Consider the following 20,068-nt stretch of genomic DNA (forward strand, 5'->3'; position numbering starts at 1 on the left):
GTAGTGGCACATAGAGAAAATTGTATATAATATTACACACTGTGGTAAGTGAATCAGCCTACGGTTCTTGATCTCAAGTAATTGGCCTAGGGACCTACCACCTCTTTACCTTCATGCTCTGCTTCCCCTCCCTACTTACTCCCTCCTCCCATTTTGAGAGGGCAGGTAGATACCCAGGCATATCTGTAACTCATGGATGTATAATCAGTGTGAGAAAGTAGACTAAAATGTGTGTTGTCTGGAGTTAACTATTCAATAAACATAAATATCTGATGAAAAATGTTTTAAGTGTTTTGTTTGACAATATTCACATTATGGATTGTTCTAAGTCATGCATTTATGTTGGCCAGCATCTTATATTTGCAGCCTTTAGAAACAACTGTACTTTTTCATTTATAGCTTATAATGACAGAAAATCATGATTCTTAAGAATTTTATATAAATCTTTTACCTCCTTTTTTTGATGGTTGATTTGTATTACTATTAGGAAAACCAGATTTTAAGATATCAAGCATTATTTGGGATAAAGAAGGCCACTACATAATCATAAAAGAAAACTTACTAAAAAGGATAAAACTTCCTTTTTTATTTTTTAATTTTACTTTTAAGTTCCAGGATACGTGCGCACAACGTGCAGGTTTGTTACATAGGTATACATGTGCCATAAACCTTTTACCTTCTGTGATCAACTAAAGCTTTATTATATATTCTTGTTCTTGCAATTTGGAAATGAACTTTTAATATACCTACAAAATATTTTCAGTTAATGCAGTAACAGTAATCTATAATACCTAAGAAAAGAACTTATCAGGCATCTTTTGATCTGTTGGGTTATAATTGGGAAAGAATATATAGTTTAATTGTATAGATAAAGGATGTTAGTTTAATTATCTAGGTTGCACAACCTCTGGATTTGGGAGGGAATATTTATAAGGTTTGATTTTTTTTTTTTTTTTTTTTTTTTTAGAAAAATCACTACTGTCGTATTAATATTACTGTTTTCTTTAGAGTGGTGTATAACTCAGCCCTACCTCAAGAGTTACTGATGTGTACCATTGGTCTAAAACTATAGTATAAAAAATTTTGCAAACTTTAGTATAATTGAAACAACTTAGAATTTTGACATGAAAATAGTATGAAATGTATATTGTAAAACCTCTACCCTTTAAATGTTTTACCTCAGCACCACAAGACAGGGTGAGAAAATAGAAAAAAAAACAAACAAAAATACATGTTTCACTTCTTGGTTTTTCTAACTGTGGTCAGTGTCAGCATGATTTTTCATCCCTGGAAACCACAGATCAGCCTCTGATAGTTCTCTCTTTTGTGAGTCTCCATTAACCTCCTTTTCCCGTTATACCCCAGCTAGTCAACAGGACATAAAATAACTGTTACTTCTACCACCAGAATGCGTCTTATTTTTAGTCTCACTTCTGCTGTTGTCGTTTAGTATCTCAGCATATCCCATTTCTGCTATTAGAGGTATCTTCCCAAAACCCATTTTGATTGCCACCTTCTTGCTTAATATTATTTTTCTTTTTATTGCTATAGTTGGTAGCCATTCTTGTATGACATTTATTTCGCATTCTTCTATGCCATAACATGGGTGAGCTTTATCTCCAAATAGAGATGAACTTTATCTCCTTTCATAGTTATCCTATCACCACTGTTTATGTTCTCTAATAATATTACAAATCTTTATTTTTTTTAACAACTGGATACTGGGTTTTTGTGTTCAATTTTTAAATTTTTGTTCAATTTTTTTGAATTTCAATAGTTTTGGGGGTACAGGTGGTTTCTGATTACATTACTAACCTTTGTTACACTTATACTCACTGCATATTCTTGAGGGAAGACCCCTTCATTGTATGTACCTAAATGTTACCACTCTATAGAGTATTCCTGATACCTTTGTGTAGCTCCAGTGATGTTTCATGTTTCCTTTAGAGCATTTACCACACTGTGCCTTAAAATATAATGAGTTGTATAATTCATTCTCTTTCCCCACTAGATTGTAAGCCCCTTGATGACATGGCTCATGTCTTATTTAATTAGGATGTTTTGATGGTTGTCTAATATAAGACAGGAAATACGCAAATATGCACACACACATATTTTCATTTACTCAGCTTCAGTATTTACTTTTGAGTATATAACACTGCTACATTCATTTCTATGAGGATATATATAATGAATGTATGTTCTGTGAACATATCTTCAAATAATTTACATCTACAAGGAAAAAAAAATGGATAAATTCAAAGGCATTGTACAAGTGCCATGAAGTTCACATCACAAATACATAAATTATATACCATGTCTATATAATTTTATTTTTTTAACTTGCTAAGTGAAAGAGTAGTGCTGCTGTAACTCAAGTTAGTGTGACTTTTAGAAAACTTATAGTATTAAAAATTAATTTCATTTCTACAGTTTGGTTTTATCGAATTGTGATATTCTCTTAAGAAACATGGAATATATTATAGAATGTTTGTTTTATGTTTTTCTGAAGAATGAGAAAATGTTAGATTTTCACATTTATGGTATGATTTACAGATTTGTGGAGTGTAAATGCAATGCTCTGCTCTGTTTTCTTTATGCTCTAATATAATTAATTTGTTTCTAGATGCTGGCATCACCATCTACATCAGGTCAGCTGTCTCAGTTTGGGGCAAGTTTATACGGGCAACAAAGTAAGAATTTTGTATTTATTCTGGGATACTTTATTTAAAGAGAAAAATAAGTAACTACCAAATAAAGAACAACCAGTACTTCCTTTGTGGGTTTATTGTATGACTTAAAAGGAAAAATGTTTAATTTTCAGAGTTTTATTTTACTTACATAGCAAAACCTCATTATTTCAGACCTTATTGATCCTATGGTTGCTATTACTTGGATATAGCATAGATTGAAATTTATTTCAACATCTTTTACATCTGTAAATTTTTTGCAGTATTTTTGAAGAATTTGCTAAACTAAAAATAGACATTCTCTGTGTTTTCAATTAAAGGAAGTTAAAAGCTTTTTTAGTTTATTTGACTGGCTACTCTGTGTGTGTGTGTGTGTGTATGTGCACGCCTGTTTATTAAGTAAACTCATTACTTAGCAGTTTGTAAAATGTTCTTTGTTTCACAAGTATTTCTTAAATATTTCTTCTTTTGCTTTAGCTCAGTCTGGATATAGAATCTAGATTTTTGACTCACGGTTTAATGCTTGTTCCGTTTTGCAGGCTTCTACTTCTATTTTTTTAAAGTGTTGTAATACTTTTAAAGCGCTTAGCACAGAGCCTAGTGCATAGTAAGTGCTCAATAAATGTTAGCTATTATCACATAAAATTTTTATAAAACTAAACAATAAAATATCTTTATATTTTCTCAAATTAACTTCCCAAATTGTTAAATATTAGTATGATTTTATCATCTCTGTTAATGTCAGATCTGTTGATCTCCCATTTCTGTTAATGTAATCTCTGTTAATAGAAGAAGGGAATTAAAAGTGTTATAAATTCCCATCAGACATTATAGGATAATTGAATAACTGAAGAAGACATCTGATGACTATCCTAACCAGTTTCAAGTAAAAATCAATAATTTGATTTGGAACTCTCCCAGTATAATGAAAAGCAAAGTTTTGACAGGTATCAGAATAGTTTGTCATAACACTTTACCTTCCAAATTGATTCGAAGTGGGAGGATGAAACTAATTTTGTATACAAGCATGGTTTCCATTTACTTTTTTCTGTCTATCTTTTGTGGCTTTTCTCTTTTTTGCTATGGAACACAATTTTGTTAATATAGAATTAGTAGATAAAAGTTATTCTGTATTAACAGTTTCTCCAATTAAACCAAGAAACGTATTTCCAAAGCTTATTACATAAAAAAATTGTTTATCTACAAATATTTATCCTAGTTGTTGAAGGACTATTATTAGCTAGTAATTTATTCTGCTTACCCTGTGTTTTAGTGTGGCTTTCACCCTTCTGGTAACCCTTACTATAGAAATATCTAGCTATTTTAAAGCTACCTTTTATTTCTTCAGAGCAACTGCAAAGAACTTACTTTACCTTTTGGAAGACCACCGTTTATCACAGCAGAAAGTAGATATGGATTGGAGAAAAATTGTATTTGAGAAACTAAGGTTATTTTGTAAAGGATAATGGCAATTACTATACTTATAATCAGCTATCTGGATTTTTTAAAATTCTGGTCTAATTTTTTTAGCCTACAAATCTGAAATTCTAACTGGGCTAAGATATGGAATGGGTTATGTTTAAAATGCAGTTATATCATTGGTATGACAGACATTTATGTTTTTGTTTTTAAGGACATACAAAGATTAATACATGAGAAAATTTATTTTCATTAGAAAAAGAATTTTTAAGGTACTTACTAGTTTAAAAAGAAGCCATGTATGGCAAACATTTTCCATTGGAGTTCAGTATATTAAATAACTATATTCCTGTAACATTGGTGAAGCAACATTTTGAATGTATGGCTTACTCTTTTAAAATGACATTTTAAGTGTTAGATAGAGTACAGAAAAATTGAATCTTAGATCAACTGGAACTGTAATGTTTCAGGTCAGGGTGTAATTATGTTTTTCCAAGATATCGATCTAGAAGCTATAACTAGTGGAAAAAGAAAGAGTCTAGGTTGCCAATTTCTATCTGTTAGGACAGACCCGAGAAGGCCAAATAGGTCATTCAGCTGGTAGGTAATCTGAACAAACACCTTGTCAGACAGCAGAACACAAGCTACCATGTGGGTCTTGAGGGTTAAGGTTTTAATAATTTAAGTCAGAATGACAAAACTTAAGGAACTGAGTTAAATGAAGGATGGAGAGATAAGGAATTAGTAGGTGAGTGTAGATTAGAGATATTATTCTTATGGCAACTTACTGTAATTGCACATTGAGATTGGTGTAACTAAAAGTTCGTTTCCCAAGTGCATTGAGTACCACTATTAATTCTGTTCAGTTGGCAAACTTTTATTGTAATTTGTGCCATTAAAAATGTGAGATCTACTATCTATTGTATGTTCTTGATGGTTAGAAAGGTTAGAGGTGGAAGAGATATAGAAGGAAGAGTGCCCTCTCTAGAAGTAAGAGTCACTGAGATTAAACAAGAAAGGGAGTTTGTCTTGGAATAGATACAGAAGTGCTTAAACTTAGATTTGGCTAGATTTGGGTGGAAGTGATTATGCAGTGCCATGAGGTAGCCAGAAAATGCTGGAACAGAGACCTGTATGGTCTTCAGTTCTAGTATAGTATGATTGTATCCAAATATGTAAATAATTGGACTTTTCATCCAATAATTCACGTGAATACTGTACATGGAATGATAACTATAGAAACCAATGAACATACTCTTGTATTCAAGTTGCATAATGTTTCCTATTTGTTATATTTGAGTGTGTGATAAGCTTTCAGGTGAATTAAGTCCTCACTTAACATAAGTTTTTTGAAACTGCGACTTGAAGCAAAACTACATATAACAAAACCAATTTTTTGTTCTCATCAACATTACAATGGAATGAAGTTGAATGAAACAACACTATTCAAGGACCTGCTGTATGTATTTTTGCCTGAAATCACAGTTTCCAAGAATGATCAGTGGCATTAAGTGAAGACTTACTGTACACCTTATAAGCTTCAAGACCCATGAGCTCCCTTAAGCTGTCTCCTAGATTAGAATCAACAGGGAACCAGGAATTAATTTCTCCTGGATAGTCAAAGCATTGGAATTAAGTGGTTGATAGTTGCATTTACCTTTTCTTAGTTACCAACAGGATCTAGGACCTTGTAAGATTGGAGAAAAAGGAAACTGTCATTTACTGAGTGCTTTCTGTGTGCATATTATCTTATAGGCACCTAGCTTAGCAAAATATCTGGGTGAATTCATTATACAAATTTGTGTCTGAATTCTCAGAGGACCCAGGCATCTAGATGGAAGAAGAGCTAAATCTGTCAGAATTTCTAAGTTCTGGACTCCTAGCTTGAGAACAATGACATAGTCTCATGCTTCCAGCAGACATTTCTTTGGCCTCCTGCTTTAAGAACACCTATGTGAAAGCTACTTGTTTCATAGAGAACCCAGAGCACAGGTGGGGTGGTTCAGAAGTGATGCTATCAGCTATGTAAATAGGTGCATGACATATTTTGGTTGCTTTCGGAAATTGTAGGACCATTGAACAGATACTAAATGCTTAGTAATAAGTACAGAGTGCTCTAGGATTTCTTGCTCTTTTGAACACATGTTTTATAGTTGGGGAAGATAGGACATATTTATATGTAAAATATTAAATAACAGCCTGTGATGCTAACACATAGATTAAAAGATACCATGTGCAGAATGGTGTAGACAGACTTTTAGGGAGCAAATTCTGTCTATACCATTCTCCTTGAGGAGAACCAAAAAAAAAGGGAAGCTATAGTGGTATGGAAAAACTTCAAAAAGCAGGTAGGAATTAAAGTTGACAAATACTTATGGGTCCCTACCATACATGTTGTGCCATTCTAGATACTGCAGATGTGTGGTAGAAGAGATCATCCTCATTTATGCCATCTCTGCATAGTGTACCTACTGCTATGGTGTTGCTGCATTATTTATTGCATGTCCTCATTGCCTTTGTATCCTCTGTACCTCGCATATGACAAGCACTCAGTAAATCTTGAATGCATGATGAACAAGAAGCAGTCTCATATAATCTAGTAGGATAAGTACACAAATGATTTTACTATGTAGTAGAATAAGAAGTTCGAGGTTATTTGGATGTTTCAGATGAGATAGGGCACATTCAGGATGGTACGGCTGTAGACTATTTGGATATTTCAAAGACAGGAGTAATCAGGTATCTTGGAAAATGATTAGGAAAAGAATTTACTGATGAGATTATATTTGAGATTAGCATTGAACAGACTGTGAGTAAAGTTGTTTTAGCAGTGGGAATAACATCCACAGCATGGGATAGATTTAGGAATGGCCTACTTTATCAAGACAGGAGACACCTGTTAGGCTGTTATATTGATTTCAGCAAGAAGTACAGTCTTCACATTTCTGAGAGATTTATTTCAAGATCATTGCTACTTTTAAAGTTCAAGAACACAGCTATAGAATAACATTTTCCACCATAAAACATCCTTTTTGTGTGTGTGAAAACCATCACTTGATTAGACTATCTTATTTTATCTTCACTTTTGGTACCACCTGTTGGCTTTCTTTTCATAAGTATGACACACGCACACACACACACACAGAGCTAATATTTATTGAATATTATCTACTGTGTATCAGATGCGATTTTAAGTATTTATGTGAATTAACTCATTTAACCTTCACAGCAGCTCCACAAGAGTTTAAGGAATTTGTTCAAGGTTACACAGATTGTAAGTAGTAGAACCAGGATTATATTACTTTGTAAGAGTAACTATGTGAACATGAGCTGAAAACATCAGTTTCTTTGATACCTGAATGCCATGACCCTAGAAAGCCATTTGTACATAGTAGAAACTACCAGTGTTAAATCCACAGGTGCCAAGAATCTGTTGAATTAAGACATTGTGATAGAATGTATTCATTCTAATAATTATGTATTTATTGGGTGCCTACAATGAATGAGGTATTATTTCAAGATATAGATAAGAATATAGCAAATAACAAATGTCCTGTTTTTATGGAGAGAGAGAGAGAGAATGTTAGTAATACTGCAGTAGTCCAGGCAAAAAAAAATGGGATGACTTGGACTAGTGGAGGTGTTGAGAAGTGATCAGATTTGGTACATTTTGTAGATAGAGCTAACAGGACTTGATGATGTAGGAGTGAAAGAAAGGGATCAAGAATGATTTCTAAGGTTTCCGACCTGCAAACCTTTGTGAATGAGTGCCACTAATCTAGAGCAGAAATTTAGGTTGAGGAAGTGTAGAGTGTACTTGGGAGATCCACACAGCTATTCCACAGGTAAAGATTCTGTGGCACTCCTCTAAAGATCCAGCCAGATGTTGAGACTCTCAGCTGATTCGAGCACAGCAGCCACTTCTCATAGTTGTGGAAGCCACTTAGCTCCATCCATGTTTCTTGTCTTATACATTCTTAGCACCTAGAAGGCAAAGCCTGTTCCTCCGCCAGGTGTATAACTTGTCCTCATTTTCATATATCTCGTCATTCTCTCAGACTGAACTATTGTAACATTTATACCCACCTGACTCCCCACCACTGCCACCACCAAACACCTGGCTGAGTCTCATATGTTATTTAATTCATATACTATCTTCTGTCTCCTCCAGGAAAATTTTTCTGCTTCCAGACTCACTCTATTCCCAAGTCTGAGTTAGTGTGGTCCCTCCTACAAGCAGTCAAGCACGCTATGTCTACTGCATGTAAACACCTTGGTCATAGCACTTATTTATTTTTAAGTAGTCTTTTATATCTCTAGAACAAGAGAAGGGAAAGTATTCTTGCTGAGGAGTTAGATATGAGTAGTAAAGGACAGATTTGAGGAAAGGAATAGAGAAAGAAGAAAGAAGATTATAAATCAGATATGTAGTGTGTAAACAGAGTAAAATGCTTGTTAAGGTTAGAAAACATCTTTGGGTCTTGACAGAATTTTAATACTCTAGAACAGTGGTTCTCAACCCTGACTGCACCCATGGAAACACCTGGGGAATTTTTAAAATTCCACTGCCATGATTGCCCAAAATCACAATTGCTGGAGAGGAGACCTAGACATTAAAGTTCCCTGGATGATGCAAACATTATTAACTACCATTAAAAAATGGAAAATGATATTGGTTGCAAAAAAGGCATTGAAATAGGAGTCAAGAAATTGGATCATTGTCTTTAATGCCTCATTACTTGTGATCTTGAGCAAGTCACTTAATGCCTAGTGTGAATTCTTTATCTGTAACCTACTTGGATAATCTCTGGAGTCTTTTCTATTCTAAAATACTTTGAATTTAATGAAGAAAATTGCATAAGGAAATAATTTTACAGGAATCATTAACCAGCTAAGTGCAAGACAGGTTGAAGGTAAGAAGCCATTGAGATAAAGCACCATTTATGTTGTCCTTTTTAGTATGGGCATGCCAGTGAGTTCCTAGAGGAAGCTGGCTGCTTTGCAAATGGAAAAGGGGACACTTTAAGGCATCAGTTAAGGACTACTCTCTCCTGCCCCTATAAAGATTTTAGGGGACTTTATTTAAGTATGAATATTCAGGGATTTGGTTGCTATGATTTTATTTTTTCATGTAACTTAATATTTTTTATTTCTAGCAAAAAATTGAATAAAGAATGACGTATTTTGCCATAAGTGTTTAAGTGATGTGCTGTTAATCAGTTTGTGCAGTGGAAATAATTAATGGAATAATTTCTTAGATCATATTCTTTAAGGGTTTCTGAAAAATGATCAATAAGGAATTTGACTAACACCCTGCCAGATAAGAGGTAGGAATCTATTTAGAATGTGTTCGTATAGTCCTCCTAATATTGTGTTGTTATTATCAATTGTTAGATTGAAAGAAAAATTTGACTCAAAATTATAACCTTTTAAACTTTTTTTAAAATTTGTTTTTATTCTTTGTAAAAAGGTGATAACCTTTTTTATAAGATGATTATAAGAAGGAATTGAGAGGAAGTAGTATAGTGCTTTGTTGATAAGTGCCCAATAAATTTTAATTTTACTGTCCTTCCAGTCACCTGCTCATATACAAGCTCATTTATACATATTTATATTTTTGCCTGTTTTAGTTTTTTTATGCCAAGAAAAACTCCTTGAGTTCTTCCCATTTTTCTTTTTTTTTCTTTTTTTCAGCTGTATGTCCTATTCTTGGCATAATATTTTAGAGATGATTTTTCTGTGATTGTTTCTAATTATACTAGTGAGAGATTAGATTTTTTTCCCCTTGACCCTATTCAGTTGTGTTAGTTTGACTCAAGCAACTCAAAGTTAATGACTTAGTATATTTAGTTTCCAAAAAACAAATCTTTATATATACCTTTCCAGTGCCATTCTTTATGTTTTAAAGAAATTCAGTTTTTAAAATAAATTTAAAGTAACAATTATTAAGTATTCAGGGGTTGATGATCCAATTTGAAGTGATATATTCTTTTTTGATCTTTTTATACTACTTCAACAAAATTAAACTTAGACTTTTTGAATTTATTAGCTGTTTTTGTGAAGATTAATTTTAGAAAGCTAAAATTAAACACTGAAAGTAAGTTACTTTATTCCATACGGTCTCTGTCCAGTTTTAGCACTAAAATCAGTTCAAGGATGCCAATCCCTAATTGGCCAAATAGCCTTACCATTCTTGTTTTCTTCTCCAAATTTGTTTTTTTGCTGGTCAGATAACTTCCAATTTCTAAAATATTCCTGAAATGATAAATTTTTATGATACAGCATAGAATAATATGTATGTGGAGACTTGAAGGAGTCAAATCTCAATGAGCCTTTTGTAGGGCTTAACGATTGTTAAAAGGGGGCCAAAAGGGCACTAATTTTTGGAAAGTGTATGTTTGTTTATGGTGGTGAATGTGTAGAGAGGGTGAAAAGTAAAGGAAAAGTAGAACAAGAAGAAAGAAAACTGATAGGTATGACGATGAGAGAGAAAGAAAATGGAAGAGAGCAAGACGTGGAGATTTAGAAAAAAGGTTGAGGGAAACATATTCAAAAGGGAAAAAGAAAGCAGGGGGAAAATACATTAGAGGTGTTGAAATTAGTAGGCACTCACAGAGGTGCTAATCGAGAGTTCTGTTGGGCTCCTGTCATGCTGCTATTAAAGAGCATTAGCAGCTAAGAGATCTAAATTCTAGTCCTAGTTCTTTGTGTTGCCGTGGAGAAGTCAGTTAACTTACATGAGGCTCAGGTTCCTTACCTGTGTGTAAAATGGGAACATTGAACTAGGTGATCTTTAAGATCCCTTCCGGCTCTAAAATTGTTTGACATTATCTTGGTGGTCAGTAACTGTGAGAAACACATTCCTGAGGAAAATTTGCAGCTATAGTTGACTTCAGGACAGCATGTTTAGGGAGTAGAATGTAAGCTCCCTGAGGGTAGGGGCCTTTTCTGTTGTGTTCACTGCCATATCCCCAGCAGCTAGCACAATGCGTGTTACATAGTAGGCATTCATTAAATGTTTGTTGAATGAATGATGTGAAAAGTATGTTGATGGTTTGTTAGGAGCACACCTAGAAAGCCTCAAAGAAAAATGGTGTGCTTTAGGGAGGGAAAAGACAGATTTCTTCTGAAGAAATCTTAAGCAAGCTGATTTTTAATCCTTATTCTTCCTTATTTTGTCCCAGATTCAAAGAAAGTGGCTTCAGCTAGTGACATTCTCATAGTCACAAAACTTACGGTGACTGTAGACATACATAAAAGTGTACATGTAATCTAGGCCAGTTCCCTTAAAGTATCTTACAGAAAGGCAGGACCAAGCTTAGGTCTCCATGGAATCTGAGTGAAAAGTATATACATGGAATATATTAGTTATATTGAATTAGATTGATTGGATTAAAATTCATTCAGTTGAGAGGCACAGTTAGTCTACAAGCTGAGATACAGGCTGCCAAATTTAAGATAACGATCAGTGAGATACTCGCTAACCACTCCTATCCCTAGGTTAGAAGGTGAAACATTATTATGCCAAAGGATAAAATCACCTTAAATCCCTAGCACTGAAGTCATCTACTTACTGATTAGTTCTCACTCTATCTTATCACTTTTATTTAATCTCCAGTTCAGAATAAGTTTGGTTGATGAAGCAGACTAGAAGTAGAAAGCACTAAAAAGTGTGGGTCAGGAAGATGGAGGAAAGGGAGAGGAATTCGTAGACAGATATAACAGTGTAAGTGATAGCTGTACTTCTTGACTTTGAAGCATAAAAGGGAAAAAAATAAACGTATGCTGTCTATGATAATTATCCTGGATTATTAAAAAATTTATAATTCCTATGATCTGAATAAAAACTCAGGAAATATACATTTCTAAAAAAAGTTTATCCACAGTGGTTTTGTTTGTTTGTTTCGTATGAGAATGATAAAACTCTTAGCAGTCTTTAAAAAAAAAAAAACCTATTAGAATGTATAGTCCATCCCCACACCTGGCTCCAGGGGTACTAGATAAATACAGGGGCATTATATTTTGACGTCTTTTTAAATGTTTTAAAATTTTGTCTTTTATAGCTATATCAGTTTGAGTTTTTTTTAACAGTTGCTGGCATTTTATGTTGGGTTTGTAAAAACAGTAATGTTGAGAAATATGTATAAATAGTAAATTGGCTTTTTCTAAAATATAATTTTAAAGGATCACATAAAATTAAAGCTACTTCAGCAAAGCGGGGTTAAATGTCTTTCTGTATACATTAGTTGTGAATAAAGACATAAAAACACATTACTGCAAAATTTCATAATGGCCTCTTTGTATATACACATGTACATATATGCAAATAGGCCTTTAAGAAATTTTAGAGCAATATCCATTCATAATATTGTAACTTGTTAGTCATTTACATACTTCATAATGAAATTGAAATATGAAAAATAGGAATATGAAAGAAATATCCATTCATAATATTAAATTTCAGACTGGAACATATTTTTTGTTAAAATCAGAGTTTATTTGGAGTGAATCGAATATATCCATTTAAAATTTGCGTACTATGTTAGGTCATTAAAAGTGTCTTAAATCGCCAACTCCAGAAGATGGATAACAATTTCATTCCTGATGGCAATGAATTTCCTTCTTCTGAATTTTTTTATTAGGTGCACTAGGCCTTCCAATGAGGGGGATGAGCAACAATACCCCTCAGTTAAATCGCAGCTTATCACAAGGCACTCAGTTACCGAGCCACGTCACGCCAACAACAGGGGTACCAACAATGTCACTTCACACGCCTCCATCTCCAAGCAGGTATTTATTGATGGACCAGAATATTTTTCAAAATGTATCTTGGTAGAGTAAACAAACTTTTAGTTTTTTAATAAGGTAATTAATTACTTGATTTTCTGGTTCAGTGCCTTTCACTGAGGAAGAAAATACCTATGCTCTTTTTATTTCAGTGCAAATTGTTAAGTACAGTACAAGTGGTTTTTATACTGCAGCTCGCATACTGGTTGTCAGTGGGGTGGATATCAAGGGTTAATCATTTCCTGGGGAGCTTTTTCAAAAGGCACCTGTCTTCCTCAAAGGAATATGTGCAATTTAAAATTCCTCCCCAGATGATTGTGATCATTGCTCCCTCGCCACACATCCATTGCTCTAATGAGCATAAAGTAAAACAGATGACATAGACTATACATTTAGTATGCAGAGGATAGAACGATATGCCATTGAAATGAAATTATTCTAAATATGTGTGTGAAATACATTTATATTTTATGTCACAGTCACACCAGTAGTTCTCTCATCTTAGATACCACCTTTTATCAGTTGCACTATAATTTGCCCTTTATTGTTTGTTTACTTTTTCTTTTCAAAGAGCTAGAATGACTAAAGAATTAATAAAAATTAGAACTGCAATTTGAAAGTATATTTGAGATTCTAGGGTTGGACCAATTGATTATTTAAAGAGAATTTTAATGAGTGATTGTAGAGAGCTTATTTAGTATAATGGACTTCTTTTTCAGGGGTATTTTGCCTATGAATCCTAGGAATATGATGAACCACTCCCAGGTTGGTCAGGGCATTGGAATTCCTAGCAGGACAAATAGCATGAGCAGTTCAGGGTTAGGTAGCCCCAACAGAAGCTCGCCAAGCATAATATGTATGCCAAAGCAGCAGCCTTCTCGACAGCCTTTTACTGTGAACAGGTAAGATGTTTATTGATACTGTGTATAATTGTCTTTCTGGGTATACTCAGATTTGCCTTTTCATATTTTCACTTTGTTCTTGAGGTGTGGCTTCTCTCTAATAAGTGTGTTTCATCATGCATTTATGTCCAAAGATTCTGTTACCCATCACAAAACGATACGTTTTCTTGAAAATCAGGTTGATTTTGGAAAGCACATTAAAACATTTTGTTGTTGTGGTTGTTAGAAAAGGATTGTTCTTGGATTCGCCACCAGGCAAATTTTGGTTGATATGTCCTCTCTTTATAAAATAAGTTGATTACCTGTGTGGTAAGAGTTCTAGGTTTATGAATAGAACTGGAGACATGTTTGACTATTACTACTTTGCTTTAGTTATACTTTGAGTACCTTCTCAAGTAAGATTTGGTTTTGTGCATTGGAGACTTACCAACAAAAGACTTTTTAAGATCACATCTATAGTATTTGAAAACCGTATCATGTTTAGGGATTCAAAACAAAAAAACGGGTTTTTGTACTTTTTCACTTCTCTTTGTACTGTCTGTTGCATATACTTTGCGAATAAGAGGAGTTACTCATTTTGTTAGGATTTTCAAGCTGTTTGGGTAATTTGTATGAGAATTATGTCTGAAATATAACACTTTCTTGCAAAAGTAGTATTTAAGCTTGATTGCCTACATGTATATATATGTATTTTTTAAATGGAGAAATGTAGGGGCAAAACTACCTTGATCTAGTTGTTATCATCATACCTGTTTGATTCACTTTATTCTGTCTAGTAAAATCTGAATTAAAATAGGTTTAGCACATTTACTGTTTAATCCTCATTCCATAAACTCCAGGTTTTGCTTTTATTTAGATATCTATAATTTTACTGCTCTTTTAAATTTTAAAAAACTTATTTGTGAAGGGTTATCAAAATTCTCATCTCCTTGATACCTTTCTAACCTTATATCTTTATCATAACTTTATCATATCTTTGTGCGTTCTCATAGTATTGGGCATTGAATGTATAAATTTTTACCTTTCCATAGTTTTTCACATTTTGTTTTTAAAATACACTTTGCTTAAATTGTCAATGTAACATGGATCTCTAAAACCCTGCTTATTTCTACTATTGACAGATTGTATTTATTATAAATTGTTTTCATCTCTGAGCACTTATTCCATGTTTGATGGTACCTGTAATAGCATCAGCAATTCTAATATGCTATTAAACAAAAATTTCCATTGACTTTCTGGCTCTTCTCTAGAGTGTTTGTTGTTTTGTCAGCTGCATGTTTTATCAAAAAATTGTTTCACTATAGGTTTATAGATTTAGTCAAAACCCAAAAAACCCTGTCATCTTCATACAGATTAACCCCGCTTACAGCATTGATACACTAAGTGCCTTTTATCAGAAGAATATATGACATTAAAGACATGTGGTTTCACTATAGAATCTGCATTAACAATTCCTGTTGACACTCTTAATTATTTGGCCTTGCTCTAAGTTCTGCCTTATTTTTTTTTTTTTCTTCACATGCTTAGTCTTGTACAAAAAAGGGAGGGAGGCAACTGTAACTATTTACGAAATACCAGTTGTGTATTAATTTAAAATTGGGGACACCATAGACTGTGTTTTCTTTTAAGTATATGAAAGGTAAACTATATTTAGATAAGAATGATGTATTTTTGAGCACTGAATTCAATTTTAAAACGCACCATTCAATTCAGGTCACTACATATTTATTGAATGTCTATTATGTCTTCCTGAACACTAAAGGGCAGAAGACACAGAGAGGAGTTTAACATGGGAGGAGTATGACATAAACTCCTGTGTCCATGAGGAGTTTATATTCTAGTTGGGAAGATGAATACTGTAAGAGAGAAGATCTATTATGAAAAGTAATATTTGCAAGCTTTACCAGTAAAGAAGAAAAACAACTATTTAGCAAGAATAATCTTAACACTAACCTGCATATTTTTGAGGTTAGGTAATTCAGGTATCCAGGAAGTTGGCTCTTCAAGTACACAAAATGGTGCCCTGAATCTGTTTTCCTCAAGGTTCATATATAAATTTTTGAGTTTTTGTTTTTTAACTAATCTGCCTAAAATGTTCTGGTTCTCATTTGTTCATGGAAGGACTTTAGAGAAGTTTTCAAGTAAAGATAAAGAATAGATTCAGAAAAATAATATTAGTGTTGGTTTTGAAACATATTGTTATTTTATATGGAGACCAAAAATACACACTTCTGTTTTTCTTCATCTGAAAGTTAGTGTTCTTACTGTATATCTAAAACTATTTTCTATGTACCCAGTATGTCTGGATTTGGAATGAACAGGAATCAGGCATTTGGAATGAATAACTCCTTATCAAGTAACATTTTTAATGGAACAGGTAAGCTTATTCTGGAGCTAGTACCCTACAAAAAGTATGATAGATTTATGAAATATAAAGCAATTCAACATACTGGTCTTTAAATACGGTAGGATTTTTTATTATGTTAGATGGTAGATTTTAATTCAGTGAAAAATAGGAATAGGATTCAATACAGTGAATAGTTGAGAGAGATGTAAATTTTTTTTACTTAGCATGGTAACGTAGTAATTTGTGTTATAACATCAGGATTATTTCCTTAACACCTGGAGAGAGCCTACACATTAACTTAGTTAGTATTTATGCCTCAAAATATTTTGCTTCATAGCTTTTACTGTCCTCAGCCCTGTCACTGTGAGAACTATAGCTTAGACTAGGTTGGGTGGTATGACATTCTGGCTATGGAGATCCAGATTGAAGAGAACCTTTAAAATTGTATGGAACACTTACGTTTTTTCTTAATAGTTTTAATAATACTAATGTTGGCATTTAACCTTTATGAATTGTTGATTCAGTTTTATGTATAAAATTTAGTTACATGGAAAACCAACTCTGATTTTGACAGTAAAAAATTCCTTCAGTCTTTTGGTTTATTTCTTTTATCAACTGCTTCAGATAGAAGAGAACAGGAAGCTTTGTTGCTATTTTGCTTTAGGTTTTACCTTCTCCACCCTACAGACCCTTTCCTGAGAAAGGAAATAAAGGATGTTATGATCATAGGAGCAAAAATGAACAGCATTATTGGAGAGGATTAAATGTAAAGGAAGTGGAAGGTAAAAGAATGCTCACTGAAATGGAGCATTTGTAGAGGCAAGAGAAGATTTAATAAGGAAATGTCATTTGTAGCTATGAGCTTTTAATTTCTAAATGTTAATGTATGCTCAGCAGCATAGATTAATCACACAAGATTAAAATCTTTGAAAAAAGATTCCAAATTTTAGCATTTGTAAGTGGTGGCTTGTGTTCAAGATGTAGTATGAAATACTGTATTCCATTCTTTCTAAAATGTACATTTCTTCATAATTTAATGTCTTTGAAATCAGGCTACATCTGCATATCATAGTTTAATTGTAGTTTTTTTCTAAATGTGATGTAAATTAACAGTAAAGATGTCTGACAGTGCCATCTTAGATTCTGCATTATGGTTTTATACAGTGCTATAAAACTTGAGAATTATTTTTTAAATTCTGTTTTAACTAAGCATATTTTATGCTAGGAAAATTCCCAATTCTTTCATAAAAATATAGATTGGGGGTTTATTAACTTTATTAGGTTGAAACATAGTCTCAAATAATAAATGGCAAATTTAAATTCCATCTTGGAGGACCTAAAGATATGTATTAAAAGTTAATATATATTCAAAATGTATGACTCATTTATAATCAAAGAATTTGAGAAATTATAAATTGAAACAGGATATAAATTTTTAATTTCTACTGTCTTATTCAGTGGTAATTTTTTATTCAAAGTTCTTAAGCTGCAGAAATAAATTTATAAACTGCAGTTTTTGTAAACAGCCAGGTATAAATGATTTATCCTTTACCCTTGTAATTTGAAATTGTCACCTGTCTTTGAATGTTAATAAATTAATGGTGTCTATTGTTTTTCTGTCAACAAAGTAATCTTGAGATAACAGTTACTGTTTGAGATTCTTACAGTTGTGAAATTTGGAGAAAACTAAAAATTAATTGGGAAGTGGCAAAATAAATTGAAAATGGTAAAACAAAAATTAAAAGCTATAGCGCAGGCTAAAAGGACGGTAGAAAGTTTTCTTCAAAAATTAAGAACCCAAGGTTATAAGAATACTAAAAAGTTAAGAAATTGAGATGATTAAAATAGACAAAGTAGAGAAGTTGGGTTAAATTTTAATTTTTAAAGGAAGCCAGCTGATTGTTTTAACTTAAAATGAACAAAAATACATTTAATTTATTCTATATATATTTATTGAGCGCCTACTGTGTAATAGGTAATATAAACTTCTGGGCTTTGTATCATATTTCTATATTTCCTATCCATTTACCATATATGGGAACCCTACTGCCACCCTGTTGTACCCCACCCTCAAAATGCGCACATGCGCACGCACACACGTTTGTATATGAAAGCGGTCAATTACAGGTGGAAGTCCTCAGGGCTTCTGCTTCACTGCCTGTGCCTCAGCTATATCTTTCTGGCCATTTGCAGGAGGCACTATCATTGTCACCATTTGTGTGTAACCGAAGCTTCAAGCATTCTAGATATAACCTCCATCTGAGCATAATGAAAAGACAAGTTATATCGTAACAATCTCCCTCTTGTTAGCTCACAAGCTATAATTTTAGGTTACCATCTTCCATGGGGGAAATATATGCTTTTTATTCTCTTTGTTACATCTCTAGGATTTGGGGTTTCTATTATGCTGGTTGCGTATTCCTTTGCTAAATTGTTCATGGAATTCTTTGACATGAAATCAATCTGCAAGTATCTTTTGAGCACCTACATACACCTAGTACAGTGCCGTGCATTATTTAGGAAGAAGGCGCAATCATTTCGAATTATATTATGGTTGGTTTTTATAATCTCTTAAAAAATATTTGTAGAATCAATAACCAGTGTCCTTTCTTATTATTTAGACGGAAGTGAAAATGTGACAGGATTGGACCTTTCAGATTTCCCAGCATTAGCAGACCGAAACAGGAGGGAAGGAAGTGGTAACCCAACTCCATTAATAAACCCCTTGGCTGGAAGAGCTCCTTATGGTAATTAAGCTTTTTAATGATGGCCAGTAGAAAGTTTCCATTGTATGTGCACACACATATACATTTACATGTACGTATACATATGCTTGTGTGTGTACACATGTATGTTTGCATTTTCTAATCAGGTTAGTGTAATTTTTTCAGAATTGATATATTAGAAGTGATTTTTCTTCCCAGAATACCATGATAGCAAAGTTAAATGGGAAAACTTTGTACAAAAACCCAAGAGGAAGTCCTCATTGGTATTCAGAAGTTATTTTCTTCTGTTATCCCTGCCTTAGTTTACCTTAAGTGTTTTATTTTGTGGTCTGCCTTTTCTCTCCTTAATTGATCACACATTTTTTCAAAATAATATATTCCTGGTGATTAATAATGACTGACTATACATTGAAGATGTTTTTCTGAGCCAAGGTTTTTCTCAACCTCCACACTGTTGACATTTGGGCCAGGTAATTCTTTGTAGAGAGGAGATGTGGGGGGCTATTGTGTTTATACAGAATGTTAAGCAATATTCCTGGCCTTGGCCTACAAGATGCTAGTAGCACTTTCTGTTTCTAACCCCCATAGCCTCTATTGTGACAGACACAAATGTTTTCAGACATTGGCAGATGTCACCTGGGGAAAAAAAATTGCCCCCTGTTGAAAACCATTGCTCATGGGTCATGTATAGCTTATGCAGACTCTTGGTCTCCGTTAATATCCTTCATCACCCTTTTTCACTGTCTCTAATAGATAAGAAATTTGGCTAATCAGGGATAAATGGAAATAAAGGAGGGGAAACATATGCAATAACAATATAACAATGTAGATATGAAAATTCTGTGACAGCAATGTAGCTATACTATTTTTATCACATAGTTTTTTTCTTTTGGGAAAACCTGATAGAGACCAGTAACAAAACGGTGAATTTAAAAGAATCAGTTCATCCATTATTTTAAGATAGAATTAATATTTGATCACATTTTCAACCAAGAAGGATTTCTGTGCCATTCAGATATGAATACAAATAACAGTATATGAAGAAGGGAAACATTTATTGTTTATATTCTAAAGTTTCCAAATTAGTCTCCCCAAAATAAAAAAAAAAATGATCTGCCCTGGAAGTTGAGTACCTAGCTACTTGATTCTCAGTTCAGACTCTAATGTTTTTAACCTTTCCTCATAGGTCCATTTTTT

General features: G+C 33.2%; 1 protein-coding gene across 24 annotated transcripts in view; it reads left to right on the top strand.

The window, feature by feature from the left end:
* CNOT2 (CCR4-NOT transcription complex subunit 2) overlaps nt 1-20,068 on the top strand; it is a 111,976-nt gene that overhangs the window by 73,654 nt on the left and 18,254 nt on the right. For 19 of the 24 annotated variants that reach the window (NR_037615.2, NM_001199302.2, XM_047428882.1 and 16 more), the window contains 5 exons: nt 2,627-2,693; nt 12,752-12,899; nt 13,616-13,798; nt 16,096-16,175; nt 18,767-18,892. Coding sequence is in view for 23 of the 24 variants with exons in the window: in NM_001199302.2 (NP_001186231.1) it covers nt 2,627-2,693; nt 12,752-12,899; nt 13,616-13,798; nt 16,096-16,175; nt 18,767-18,892 (604 nt within the window). In the remaining variant the exon portion in view is untranslated. The remainder of the gene's footprint in view (nt 1-2,626; nt 2,694-12,751; nt 12,900-13,615; nt 13,799-16,095; nt 16,176-18,766; nt 18,893-20,068) is intronic. The other 5 variants (XM_024448986.2, XM_006719433.5, XM_047428886.1 and 2 more) reach the window with 3 other exon arrangements.

Source organism: Homo sapiens, chromosome 12, assembly GCF_000001405.40.
Source record: "Homo sapiens chromosome 12, GRCh38.p14 Primary Assembly".
Lineage (NCBI taxonomy): Eukaryota > Metazoa > Chordata > Mammalia > Primates > Hominidae > Homo > Homo sapiens.